Source organism: Homo sapiens, chromosome 19 (assembly GCF_000001405.40).
Source record: "Homo sapiens chromosome 19, GRCh38.p14 Primary Assembly".
Lineage (NCBI taxonomy): Eukaryota > Metazoa > Chordata > Mammalia > Primates > Hominidae > Homo > Homo sapiens.
Genome location: NC_000019.10, coordinates 2,167,451 through 2,179,434, shown reverse-complemented (window position 1 = coordinate 2,179,434; position 11,984 = coordinate 2,167,451). Strand labels below are relative to the sequence as shown.

The window sequence follows — 11,984 nt, the reverse complement described above, 5'->3', positions numbered from 1 at the left end:
TGGATGCTGCAGTCCACAGGGCGCGTCAGAGGCCGCCCAGGCAGCCGTGCAGCCTCAGCGAGCCTCTCCCAGGCAGCCGTGCAGCCTCAGCGAGCCTCTCCCAGGGCAGAGAAAAAGCAACCAGCAGGGCACCTGTGGACACCACCTGACGAAACACAAGGCCAGCGTCATCACAGTGAGACACGCAGCCGCCACGAGCCTCCCAAGGCCCAGCGGGACGCAACCCCATCTGTGGGGCTCCTGCCAGGATGCAGAACCTCAGTATAACCCTGAGAGAAGCAGCCAAGCCTGACTGAGGGGTGCCACACAGAGACCCCAGCTGGCTCTCCTCCAAAGGCCAGACCATAGGAGACCCCCCCCCAGCTTTCCTTATGCACTGAGGGATCAGCCTAGATAGGGGAGACAGGAGACACAAGGGCTCATGGCAATGATGGGATGGGACGTATATGCCACTGAGGCCACAGCTCCGTCCACCTCCTGGTTCGGATCAGGGTACTGTGATGAAATAAAGCCACATAGAAAGTCTGTGCGGTGCTTTGCAACTTTCTTCTAAGTCTAAAACCACTTTAGGGGTTGGCGTGGTGGCTCACACCTGGAATCCCAGCGCTTTGGGAAGCTGAGGCAGGTGGATCACGAGGTCAGGAGATAGAGACCATCCTGGCTAACAAGGTGAAACCCCGTCTCTACTAAAAATAGAAAAAATTAGCTGGGCGTGGCCGGGCGCGGTAGCTCACACCTGTAATCCCAGCACTCTGGGAGGCCAGCTGAGGCGGGTGGATCACAAGGTCAGGAGATCAAGACCATCCTGGCTAACACAATGAAACCCCATCTCTACTAAAAAATACAAAAAGTTAGCCAGGCGTAGTGACGGGTGCCTGTAGTCCAGCTACTCGGGAGGCAGAGGCAGGAGAATGGCGTGAACCCGGGAAGCGGAGCTTGCAGTGAGCCAAGATCGCGCCACTGCACTCCAGCCTGGGCAAAAGAGCAAGACTCCGTCTCAAAAAAAAAAAAAAAAAAAATTTCAAAGTGAAGTGTGTTTTGGAGATTTTTTGTTTTTTTTTTTTTTCTGGTAGAGACAAGGTTTCACCATGTTGGCCAGGCTGGTCTCAAACTCCTGGCCTCAAGTGAGCTGTCTGCCTTGGCCTCCCAAAGACATGGTGAAACGCCATCTCTACAAAAAAATACCAAAAAAAAAAAAAAAATGGCCAGGCATGGTGGTTCACACCTGTAATCCCAGCACTTTGGGAGGCCGAGGCGGGTGGATCACTCGAGGTCAGGAGTTCAAGACCAGCCTGGCTAACACAGTGAAACCCCATCTCTATGAAAAATACAAAAAAAAAAAAAATTAGCTGGGCATGGTGGTGCGTGCCTGTAATCCCAGCTACTCAGGAGGCTGAGCCAGGAGATTCACTTGAACTCAGGAGGCAGAGGTTGCAGTGAGCTGAGACTGCACCACTGCACTCCAGCCTGGGATACAGAGTGAGAATCCATCTCAAAAAAAAAAAAAATTGCTAGGTGTGGTGGCACACACCTGTAATCCAAGATACTCAGTGGCTGAGGCAGGAGAATCTCTTGAACCCAGGAAGCAGAGCTTGCAGTGAGCCAAGGTCGCACCACTGCACTCCAATCTGGGCAGCAGAGTGAGATTCCAGCTCAAAAAAAAAAAGGAAAAAGAAATAGGAGGAGGCAAGAGCCGGGGCTGGGCAGAGCGGAGAGCAGGGCTGGCGAGGGTTGGCGAGGGAGCAGGCAGAACTTGCAGGCCCCGGACAAAGTGAAAATAGGGTCCCTTGCTCAAAGGTGGCTAAAGAACTTCAACACGAGCTGGGCGCAGATCATGAGGTCAGGAATTCGAGGCCAGCCTGGCCAACGTGGCGAATACTAATAACACAAATATTAGCTCTATCACTAGTAATACAAAAATTATTACCACTAATAATATAAAAATTGTTAGTAGTACTAATAATACAAAAATTAGCTGGGTGTGGTGGCGGGTGCCTGTAATTCCAGCTACTAGGGAGGCTGAGAGAGGAGACTTGCTTGAACCCGGGAGGCAGAGGTTACAGTGAGCCGAGATCGCGGCATTGCACTCCAGCCTGGGCGACAAGAGCAAAACTTTTTCTCCCAAAAAAAAAAAATTGTTCCTGCGTGATTTGACTGCGTGTGTGGGGCGAGTGCAGCACACCTGGTCGTTTCCTGTATGTTCTGTGCTCTGCACAGCTCCTTCCCGCCAGCCACATGTCGGGTGCCCACAGCCGAGTGGCTAGTGGCTGCCGTCAGGACAGTGCCGCTCCACAGAGCTCCCCCTCACGGGGGAGTCTTCTTCCTGCGGACCCCCACAGACTGCTGCGGGATGTTGCAGGGTGCAGCCGGAAGCACTGGGTTCTACGCATCTGAAGCGAGACCCAGAGGGCCAGCCTGCTCTCTGGATAGGGGCTGGGGGCGGGAGGAAGGGGTGCTGGGCCTGCTCCCTCATATCGGGGTCCTGCTTCTGTGAGACCCCTTTCCTCCTGCTCACTGTCAGGGCCCACGGCAGGGTTCCCCTCTCCCTCCTCAAGCTGGAATTCCAGCCTGCTGTGGTCCCAGAAGTTCCTGTCTGTCCATAGCGTCTTCCCCAGTGATCATCTGACAGAGGGCCCTGCCTCGCCTGGTTTCAGAGTTTTCTTGTCACAGGGAGTCGCTGTCTCAAAGTGGTGGCCGCGGGAGCTGCATGTCTGGCTGGCAGTGTTTGCAGCTGTGGTTTGAGTGTCCTGAGGCTGCGCAGGTTGGAGGGGGCTGTCGGCCCAAGTCCCCCTTCCTAGGATTCAGCCAAGCGCTTCTCACAGGCGCAGGCCTTACTGGAACAGAGAATGTTCCTGGGAGCCAGATGACTCACAGGTGTGAGGGCTGGAAATGCTCTGATTGACAGCGGTGTCACCTGCCCTTGCCTGCTCTCCTTGGCAGCGTGACATTATTTTGGGGGCCACGTAAGTGTACTTCTAAAAATGAGTGCCCCGCAGAAGCAGTAGCAGGGTGAACTCGCTCTGCAACTCCCGCGAGCCGTGCCCTCTGCCCCACGCCTGTTTCGTCCTTGTGCCTCATTCCCTGTCATTCACAGCTAGGGAGACAGTGTCCCCACCAGGCAGTGCACCCCGAGTTACTGCCCCTGTCCCCTCTTGCTCGCACTGCCTCCTGTCCAGAGGTGCCTTGTGGTGTGGGATGCTGTGTGGACCGAGGGCTGGGGGACAGGGCTTTGTGCAGACTTCACCAGGTTTTTCTGAATCCCAAAGGCCAAGCGGTGACATTCCCTCTCATGGTGGGTGGGTGTGCAGGGCCTGGAGGACCCCCAACTGAGAGTGGATGTCTAGTAAAAGCAGCCTCGGCCAAGAGGCGTTTCCAGCACAGACCTGTTCCTGGAGAGCCCAGGGGACAGGCAGAGCCGGGACACAGAGGTTGGGTGATCATCCCAGGGCCCATGTCTAGAGCAGCACGGTTGGGTTCGTACTCCTGGTCTATGGGTGGGAGCCTCTGTGCGGAAGAGCCCAGTGCTGGCTTCCAGCTCGTGTGGGAGTTCCTTTCTTTTTTTGAGACGGAGTTTTGCTCGTTGCCGAGGCTGGAGTGCAGTGGTGTGGTCTCGGCTCACTGCAACCTCTACCTCCCAGGTTCAATGGCGCAGTCTCGGCTCACTGCAACCTCCACTTCCTGGGTTCAAGCGATTTTCCCGTCTCAGCCTCCTGAGTAGCTGGGATTATAGGCGTCAGCCACCACGCCTGGCTAATTTTTTGTATTTTTAGTAGAGATGGGGTTTCATCACGTTGGCCAGGCTGGTCTTGAACTCCTGACCTCAGATGATCCACCCACCTCAGCCTCCCAAAGTGCTGGGATTATAGGCGTGAGCCACTGCGTCCAGCCAGAACAATTTTTTAATTACATGATAAAATGATAATATTCCAGTTATACTTGGTTAAATAAGTTATGAAAATTTATCTCCTTGGCCAGATGCAGTGGCCCATGCCTGGGGTCCCAGCAACTTAGGAGGCTGAGGCAGGAGGATCACTGGAGCCCAGGAGTTTGAGGCCACAGTGAATCATGATCGTCACTGCACTCTAACCTGGGCAACATAGCAAGACCTCAACTCTTAAAAAGATACAAAATATCGGCCAGGCGCCATGGCTCACGCCTGTAATCCCCAAGCACTTTGGGAGGCCAAGGCGGGCAGGATCATGAGGTCAAGAGATCGAGACCATCCTGGCTAACACAGTGAAACCCTGTCTCTACTAAAAATATAAAAAATTAACCGGGCGTGGTGGTGGGCGCCTGTAGTCCCAGCTACTTGGGAGGATGAGGCAGGAGAATGGCATGAACCCGGGAGGCGGGGCTTGCAGTGAGCCGAGATGGCGCCACTGCACTCCAGCCTGGGCAACAGAGCAAGACTCCATCTAAAAAAAAAAAAATATATATATACACACACACACACACACACACACACACACACACACATATATTTAAAAACTTAAAAAGAGATCAGACATAATGGCTTATGCCTGTAATCCCAGCACTCTGGGAGGTTGAGGCGGGAGGACTGCTTGAAGCTAGGAGTTTGAGATCAGCCTGGACAACATATTGAGACCCTCATCTCTTCAAAAAAAGTTTTTGCTTTTTTTTTTTTTTAACTAGCTGGGCATGACAGGTACACCTGTAGTCTCAGCTGTTTGGGAGACTGAAGTGGGAGGATCACTTGAGCCCAGGAGTTCAAGGCTGCAGTGAGCTGTGATCACACCACTGCACTCCAGCCTGGGTGAACAGCAAGACCCCATCTCTAAAAAAAGAAAAAAACAAAATTTATCTTAGCTTTTGCGATTCTCCTGCCTCAGCCTCCCAAGTAGCTGGGATTACAGGCGTGCGCCACCACACCCAGCTAATTTTGTATTTTTAACAGAGACGGGGTTTCTCCACGTTGGTCAGGCTGGTTTCAAACTCCCAACCTCAGGTGATCTGCCCGCCTCGGCCTCCCCAAGTCCTGGGATTACAGATGTGAGCCACTGTGCCCAACCTGACAGAGCATTTTTAGACTTGACCCTCAACCCAAGGTCCACACAGGCCCTGGCCCAAGTCCATGCAGCTACTTCACAGCAGAGCTGGGCCTGGACATCAGAGCATGTTGCTTCCTGGCTGAGCATCTGTCTGTAGGATCAAGGGCAGTGTGAAAAGGGGACTCAGACCTCCACAGGAGGAAGACGGTGCTGCCCGAGAGCCAGGGAGAGCTCAGACCAAGGATGGCTGACAAGGCTTCAGCTGACTTGATAATAACTAGCCCATGTGCAACAGCCCCAGCTGGCTGGGCACAGCTGTGCACGCCTGTAGTGCTAGCACTTTAGGAGGCTGAGGTGGAAGGATCGCTTGAGCCAGGAGTTCAAGGTTGCACTGTTATGATCACGCCACTAAACTCCAATACTCCAGCCCGGGTGACAGAGTTTGTCTCAAACAAACAAACAAACAGCCCAAGCTACGCAACAACCAAAGGAGTTCCCTGGAAACAGTCAAAGCAACTCGACACTGGAGGGGCTCAGGAGGGCTGAGGCCACCCACACAGGCTGCTGTGAAGCTGTGAGAGGAAGCTCAGCTCACCAGGCCTCTGGTTTCATAAAACACAACCGGAGCGACCCCGTCTTGAAGTGCGTAGTGAGGCACTCGCAAGGTACCGGGAAGGTTCACACTTATGAGCTGCCCACCAAGGACACAGAGCATCTATGGGTCTGGGGGAGGTCTTCCGGGCAGCCCGCAGAACCCGTGCCCGCTGTACTGAGAGGGCCGGTGAGCAGGCTGGGCTTGAAGGGTGGTCGGATGGCACCACCCGGCTGGCCTCCAGTGAGTGTCTGCACGTTCCAGGTTTACTCGCAACCCTGGCCGTTTCTCACAGACGGAGGCGCTAAGGAAGAGCAGGCACCCTCTGCCTGCTCCCCGAGGACGCCCTGCTCTGTCAGGGAGGCCCGCTGTGTAAGGAAGCGGCTTGGTGGCTGCTCTCACTGTGATCCGCGGCTCACCTCGAGTTCTCTCCTCTCTTGGGGTCTGCATCAGGACCCTCTTTTTCCAGCAGCAAAGCAACACAGGAGGGAGGCTGGACGCGCTGACCAGAACTCTCCTCGCCCTCGTCTGAGCACAGGCTGACAGACACCGACCCTCTAGCCTGAGGCCAAAGCCACAGCGTGACAGGGAAGGAGGAAAGCGCGGGACTCGTGGGCCTCCTAAAGCCACAGCGTGACAGGGAAGGAGGAAAGCGCGGGACTCGTGGGCCTCCATGCAGGGAAAAACGCTCCAGGACGCTAGGGGAGACCAGCACTGACTGCTGAGGCGGCAGCGTTTCCTTTTGGGGTGATTAGAACGTTCTGGAATTAGACAATGGTGACGACTGCACAATCTGTGAATATACTAAAACACACTGAAATGTACACTTAAAACGGGTGAACTTTTTTTTTTTTTTTGAGATGGAGTCTCGCGCAGTTGCCCAGGCTGGAGTGCAGTGGCACGATCTCAGCTCACTGCAAGCTCCGCCTCCTGGGTTCATGCCATTCTCACGTCCAGCCTAAAACAGGTGAACTTTATGATACGTGAACTGTCACAACAAGGATGTTATTTCAAAAAAAAGAGGAAAAATATTGCCAGGCGCAGTGGCTCACGCCTGTAATCCCAGCACTTTGGGAGGCAGGGCAGGCAGACCACGAGGTCAGGAGTTTGAGACCAGCCTGATTAACATGGTGAAACCCCGTCTCCACTAAAAATACAAAAACTAGCTGGGCCTGGTGGCACACATCTGTAATCCCAGCTACTCGGGAGGCTGAGGCAGGAGAATGGCTTGAACCCAGGAGGCGGAGGTTTCAGTAAGCCGAGATGGCGCCACTGCACTCCAGCCTGAGTAAAAAGAGTGAGACTCTGTCTTCAAAAAAAAAAAAAGAAAGAAAGAAAAGTGGCTGGCCGGGCACGGTGGCTCACACCTGTGATCCCAGCACTTTGGGAGCCCAAGGCGGGTGGATCATGAGGTCAGGAGATCGAGACCATCCTGGCTAACATGGTGAAACCCCATCTCTGCTAAAAATACAAAAAATTAGCTGGGCGTGGCGGCGGGCGCCTGTAGTCCCAGCTACTCGGGAGGCTGAGGCAGGGGAATCACTTGAACCCTGAAGGCGGAGCTTGCAGTGAGCAGAGATCGCGCCACTGCACTCCAGCCTGGGCCACAGAGCGAGACTCCGTCTCAAAAAAAAAAAAAAGGAAAGAAAAGAAAACAAAAAAGAAAAGTGCGTCCGAGGAGTGGGAGCTGCATGCTGTGCAGAACTCCACAGGCCCAGAGAGCCTCCAAGTGAGTTTCAGTCACTCCCTCCCAGGGCCTTCTTTCCTCCCCTGGGGTTTCCACACTAGCTGATGAATTACCTACAAGGTTATCACTATTTGCACAATGTGACCATCTGTTATCTTCACGTCCCTGGAGTCTGAGATACCAGGAAGGACGTGGAGCCGGGCAATCACTTCTGTGATTCCAATGCAAAAGCCGCCCCTTCTTTTCTCCAGGAAGCCCCACTTGTAACTGCCGCGCATACATTCTGGGCACTTGAATCTGTGTCTCCAGAGCTGCAGCCCGCAAACGAGGCCCAAATACACTCCCATTACGCTAACTTCACCTCAGGTCCTTCCCTCAGGGGGACACAGTGGGCGGGGACTGCACGCAGCAAGCCTGGATCTTGGCCAGGGCCTGCCGGACATGCATGGTCCCAGGAAGCACTCAGGAAATAAAAGCAGGGCTACCCCCAGGAGAAGGCATGTACACGAACACGGAGCGACACCCGGCGGCGGTCGGTGCCCGGGACCCCAGGCGATGAAAGGCACAGCTCTTGGCGTCTCCTGGCCCGCCCTCGGTGGTGGGGCTGCCCCAAGCTCTGTGAGTGATGAGCAGCATCCTTGGGCTTCCCCCACCCCGGTGGTGACAACCGCAAAGGTCTCTAGACGCCACCAGGTGTCCCCTGGGGGCAGAGCCACCTCCACCCCTGAGAACTGCTGTTTGAACCTTCCAGGGCCAGGAATTCATTCTTTCAGCCTACAGGCAGGAAGAAGAGGGCTCAGTACAATTCGGGACCAGAAGGGCTCAATGCAGGGATCCTCCAGGTAAAAGGCTCTGCCAGTGCCACAGCATTCTCGCAGTCCTTCCCCTGGAGGACTCCTCTGGGGCCCCTGCTGTACCTTAGACCCCACCACACAGCCTGAGGCTGAGGCCCAAAGCTTATCAAAGTTACCACTAGCCTGGGGCAACACAGCAAGGCCCCACCAAAAAATACAAAATTTAGCCAGGCGTGGTGGCTCATGCCTGTAATCCCAGCTACTCAGGAGGCTGAAGGAAGAGAATCCTTTCAGCCTGGGAGGCGGAGAATGCAGTCAGCAGATATCGAGCCACTGCACTCCAGCCTGGGTGACAAAGCAAGACCCTATCCCAAAAATAATGAGAGAAACAACACTCTAAAGGACAGGTTCTGGGAGACTCTTGGAGGGGGACAGGTTCCAGGAGACTCCTGGAGGGGGACAGGTCCCGGGAGACACACGTTCCGGGAGACTCCTGGAGGGAGTGGGCCCTTCCCCCATGCCTTGCCCTGAGGATCCATTTCTCAGTATTCATGGGCATCCCACAGATCGTCCTTTATCATTAACCAAAGGACCTAAGTGTTTCTCGGGAGTTCTGTGAGCCACTGAGGCAATGTAATCAAGCCGAGGTAAGGGTGACGGGAACCTGGATTTACAGCCGACCGGTCACTCAGAAGCACAGGTCACAACGTGAGGCCTCTAACTGGCATGGAAAGTGGGGGAGTCTTGGGGACTGAGCCCTTACCCCGTGGGATCTGAGCCTGTGTCGAGGTAGACATGCTGGAAGTGAGTTGAATCGGGGCTGCCCAGTAGGAAACACAGAACTGATGAATCCCCGGGTACCCGTATCTGGTTCCGCAACTCCTCTGTGTTGACTGCGGAGAGCACAGGAGGAACCGTGTTGGGTCCTTCCTACACCTCACACTGCTGGAAGATAAAAACAGCTCCAAGCAGTCCGTGCCCAGTGAGGCATGCAAAATGCATCAGGTCCAGAGAGACAAGAGCAAGGATTTCAGTCACGCCTCCCAACCACACCAGGGGCAAGCGTGGAAAGGCATCTATCTGTTCCTGCATCCTGGTCTCGGACACTATCTTCCTGTTCCTGGAATCTGTAACACCAAGAGTGATTTGCAGCCATCAATGGCCAATATTACTTGAACAAAAATTCTTTTTTCCTTTATCTAATTTTGTCTGTTTGTTTGAGACAGAGTCTCACTCTGTCGACCAGTCTGGAGTGTAATGGCATGATCTCAGCTCACTGCAGCCTCCCCCTCTCGGGTTCAAGCAATTCTCCGGATTATAGGCAACCGCCACCACGCCCAGCTAATTTTTGTATTTTTGGTAAATACGGGGTTTCGTCATGTTGGCCAAGCTGGTCTCGAACTCCTGACCGCAGGTGATCTGCCCGCCTTGGCCTCCCAAAGTGCCGGGATTACAGGCATGAGCCACCGTGCCTGGGCAACCGTGTGTTTTTTTTAATTAAACTTTTTATTTTAAGATAATTGTAGATTCACACTGTCGAGCTAAAGGAAAGGAACTGGAGCAAAATTAATATAAGTGGAGCATTTATTTGGGCCACATTTGAGGACTGCAACCTGGGAGCACAGGCTCGAATTACCCCAAATATACACTCTGATGAGCAGCAGATAACAAGCAGATTTTTAAAGGAAAAAAAGAGCTGGGCGTGGTGGCTCACACCTGTAATCCCAGCTACTCGGGAGGCTGAGGCAGGAGAATCACTTGAACCCAGGAGGCGGAGGCTGCAGTGAGCCGAGATTGGGCCACTGCACTCCAGCCTGGGAGACAGAGCGAGTCCGTCTCAAAAAAAACTCTCCTCAGAGGCTAGGCTGGAGTGTCCCTGTATCATCTGCAGAGTTTCTGGACAATTCCCCGCCCCAGTACCCCCTGCAACCTCTTTCAGGCCAGCAGGAACAAAGCAGTGTGCATTTGCTATAAAACGGAACACTTGGGTTTTTTCTATTATTCCTTCCTATTTAAAGCGACTCCTTTACTCACACAAAGCTGCCTAAAGGTTAATCTGCCTCCGGGGGAGCTGGGATTACTCAGGACACTCAAGCTCAGAGGTCAGCAGCAGAAAATACCTTCTGAGTCACGGTGGGGACAGCTCACCCCGCCCCGGCTGCTACTCACTGCTGGCTGCCCACTCACCGCCGCCCACAGCCGGGCTCCAGGCCAGGCTGTCAGGCGGAACATGTACTCACTCATTAATGAGAGTCAGAGAGTCCGGACCCTTGGCCAGTGGAGGCCGCCCCTGCCCGCCCACAGCCTGTGAGTCACCAGGGGGAAGGTCCCGTTCTGTGGCCTTTGAAGGTTCTTTCCGAGCAAACAACCAATAATGCCACTTGTGCCCTTCCCACTAGAAGAAGGGCAGGGCCATCCTGCCCTAGAAATACCACGCAGGGCCAGGCACGGTGGCTCATGCCTGTAATCCTAGCACTCTGGGAGGCCCAGGCAGGTAGATGACAAGGTCAGGAGTTCGAGACCAGCCTGGCCAACATAGTGAAAACCTGTCGCTACTAAAAATACAAAAAATTAGCTGGGCGTGGTGGCGGGTGCCTGTAGTCCCACCTACTGGGGAGGCTGAGACAGGAGAATCACTTGAACCCAGGAGGCAGATGTTGCAGTGAACCGAGATCACACCGTTGTACTCCAGCCCAGGCAACAGTACGAGATTCCCTCTCAAAAAAATAAGAAATGCCATGCGGGGCTTGAGAAAAGCGGTTATCCAGGAACTCCCAGGTCATGTAAGAATAAAAATCTCCCTTCCTCCCCCTTGCGTTTGCCAATTGGGCAAACCCCTTCCGAACTGCTCATTTCCGAGCGTGGACAGTTGTGGCTATTTCTGCTTCCTCCTCCGGATGGCCCCTCCTCCAAGCAGCCACCCACAGGTCCCCCAGGGCAGAAGTGGCAGCCCCTCCCTGGGGACCTCAGCTGACCTTGTACTCAGCACAGTATCTCTGCTGAACTTCTATTTATAATCTACTTAACTTCACTGTTTTAAATTTTTTGGTAGAGATGGAGTCTCCCTATGTTGCCCTGGCTTGTCTCAAACTCCTGGGCTCAAGCAATCCTCCCGCCTGGGCTTCCCAAAGTGCAGGGACTACAGGCATGAGCCCCTGTGCCCGGCCTGTCTTCATTTGACAGGTTTCTTGAGACTAAGAATGCTGGGGCGGTGGCGGGGGGAGAATATTGGCTTGTTGTCCTCTGTGCCCCCACAACACTGAGTATTCAGTAGCTGCTGTTGGAATGAATCATGAATAAATGTGCTGCTGCAGCTGCGTCTGGGCACGGTGGTTCACGCCTGTCATCCCAGCACTCTGGGAGGCCGAGGTGGACGGATCACCTGAGGTCAGGAGTTTGAGACCAGCCTGGCCAATATGGTGAAACCCTGTCTCTACTAAAAATACAAAATAAGCCAGGCATGGTGGCACAGGTCTGTAATCCCAGCTACTGGGGAGGCTGAGGCAGGAGAATCACTGAAACCTGGGAGGCGGAGCTTGCAGTGAGTGGAGATTGTGCCACTGCACTCCAGCCTGGGCGATAGAGCAAGACTCTGTCTCAAAAAAAAAAAAAAAAAAAGAAAAGAAAAGAAAATCAGAACCACCCCTCACTTCTTGTGAGAAAGCAAAATTCCTCAACGGGAACACAGAAAATGACAAATGTCACGGCGAGGTTGTCAGAAGGCTGCCTCTGGCACTTGGGCGAATGAAGATGCTGGGCCCGGCAGTGGGCCAACCAGAGCAGGAAGAGGCCGTAGACGGCGCCAGGACCAGCACACCCTGCCAAGCCAGGGCCTGGCCAGGGAGGGAAAGACACGGCACAGTCCCGCCCACCACTAGAAAGCCCGCTCCCGCCAGCTCTCG

The 11,984-nt window shown here is 54.1% G+C and overlaps 1 protein-coding gene across 6 annotated transcripts in view, besides 14 other annotated features; it reads right to left on the bottom strand.

Annotated features, from left to right (window-relative positions):
* The window catches only part of DOT1L (DOT1 like histone lysine methyltransferase), a 68,646-nt gene that overhangs the window by 53,144 nt on the left and 3,518 nt on the right, over positions 1 to 11,984 (bottom strand). The gene's annotated exons all lie outside the window — the stretch shown is intronic.
* Positions 5,443 to 5,961: an enhancer, noted in NCBI's record as "H3K4me1 hESC enhancer chr19:2173473-2173991 (GRCh37/hg19 assembly coordinates)". NCBI's record gives its function as "activates a minimal SCP1, AML or CMV promoter by ChIP-STARR-seq in naive H9 embryonic stem cells {active_cell/tissue: H9 hESC(naive)}" and the evidence as "EXISTENCE:reporter gene assay evidence [ECO:0000049][PMID:30033119]".
* Positions 7,200 to 7,794: an enhancer, noted in NCBI's record as "H3K4me1 hESC enhancer chr19:2171640-2172234 (GRCh37/hg19 assembly coordinates)". NCBI's record gives its function as "activates a minimal SCP1, AML or CMV promoter by ChIP-STARR-seq in naive and primed H9 embryonic stem cells {active_cell/tissue: H9 hESC(naive and primed)}" and the evidence as "EXISTENCE:reporter gene assay evidence [ECO:0000049][PMID:30033119]".
* Positions 7,795 to 8,389: an enhancer, noted in NCBI's record as "H3K27ac-H3K4me1 hESC enhancer chr19:2171045-2171639 (GRCh37/hg19 assembly coordinates)". NCBI's record gives its function as "activates a minimal SCP1, AML or CMV promoter by ChIP-STARR-seq in naive and primed H9 embryonic stem cells {active_cell/tissue: H9 hESC(naive and primed)}" and the evidence as "EXISTENCE:reporter gene assay evidence [ECO:0000049][PMID:30033119]".
* Positions 7,880 to 8,249: an enhancer, noted in NCBI's record as "active region_13663". NCBI's record gives its function as "activates an Ori minimal core promoter by ATAC-STARR-seq in GM12878 lymphoblastoid cells {active_cell/tissue: GM12878}" and the evidence as "EXISTENCE:reporter gene assay evidence [ECO:0000049][PMID:35858748]".
* Positions 9,580 to 10,175: an enhancer, noted in NCBI's record as "H3K4me1 hESC enhancer chr19:2169259-2169854 (GRCh37/hg19 assembly coordinates)". NCBI's record gives its function as "activates a minimal SCP1, AML or CMV promoter by ChIP-STARR-seq in primed H9 embryonic stem cells {active_cell/tissue: H9 hESC(primed)}" and the evidence as "EXISTENCE:reporter gene assay evidence [ECO:0000049][PMID:30033119]".
* Positions 9,580 to 11,366: a biological region, named in NCBI's record as "CDK7 strongly-dependent group 2 enhancer GRCh37_chr19:2168563-2169762".
* Positions 9,672 to 10,871: an enhancer, noted in NCBI's record as "CDK7 strongly-dependent group 2 enhancer chr19:2168563-2169762 (GRCh37/hg19 assembly coordinates)". NCBI's record gives its function as "activates an origin of replication core promoter dependent on BRD2, BRD4, P300/CBP, MED14 and CDK7 cofactors, with strong dependence on CDK7, by STARR-seq in HCT116 cells {active_cell/tissue: HCT116}" and the evidence as "EXISTENCE:reporter gene assay evidence [ECO:0000049][PMID:35650434]".
* Positions 10,070 to 10,149: an enhancer, noted in NCBI's record as "active region_13662". NCBI's record gives its function as "activates an Ori minimal core promoter by ATAC-STARR-seq in GM12878 lymphoblastoid cells {active_cell/tissue: GM12878}" and the evidence as "EXISTENCE:reporter gene assay evidence [ECO:0000049][PMID:35858748]".
* Positions 10,098 to 10,338: a silencer, noted in NCBI's record as "fragment chr19:2169096-2169336 (GRCh37/hg19 assembly coordinates)". NCBI's record gives its function as "represses an EF-1alpha promoter that drives an FKBP-Casp9 reporter gene in an ReSE screen in K562 erythroleukemia cells {active_cell/tissue: K562}" and the evidence as "EXISTENCE:reporter gene assay evidence [ECO:0000049][PMID:32094911]".
* Positions 10,111 to 10,405: an enhancer, noted in NCBI's record as "tiled region #14448; HepG2 Activating non-DNase unmatched - State 12:CtcfO". NCBI's record gives its function as "activates a minimal TATA promoter and a strong SV40 promoter by Sharpr-MPRA in HepG2 cells {active_cell/tissue: HepG2}" and the evidence as "EXISTENCE:reporter gene assay evidence [ECO:0000049][PMID:27701403]".
* Positions 10,280 to 10,509: an enhancer, noted in NCBI's record as "active region_13661". NCBI's record gives its function as "activates an Ori minimal core promoter by ATAC-STARR-seq in GM12878 lymphoblastoid cells {active_cell/tissue: GM12878}" and the evidence as "EXISTENCE:reporter gene assay evidence [ECO:0000049][PMID:35858748]".
* Positions 10,540 to 10,719: an enhancer, noted in NCBI's record as "active region_13660". NCBI's record gives its function as "activates an Ori minimal core promoter by ATAC-STARR-seq in GM12878 lymphoblastoid cells {active_cell/tissue: GM12878}" and the evidence as "EXISTENCE:reporter gene assay evidence [ECO:0000049][PMID:35858748]".
* Positions 10,771 to 11,366: an enhancer, noted in NCBI's record as "H3K4me1 hESC enhancer chr19:2168068-2168663 (GRCh37/hg19 assembly coordinates)". NCBI's record gives its function as "activates a minimal SCP1, AML or CMV promoter by ChIP-STARR-seq in primed H9 embryonic stem cells {active_cell/tissue: H9 hESC(primed)}" and the evidence as "EXISTENCE:reporter gene assay evidence [ECO:0000049][PMID:30033119]".
* Positions 10,970 to 11,109: an enhancer, noted in NCBI's record as "active region_13659". NCBI's record gives its function as "activates an Ori minimal core promoter by ATAC-STARR-seq in GM12878 lymphoblastoid cells {active_cell/tissue: GM12878}" and the evidence as "EXISTENCE:reporter gene assay evidence [ECO:0000049][PMID:35858748]".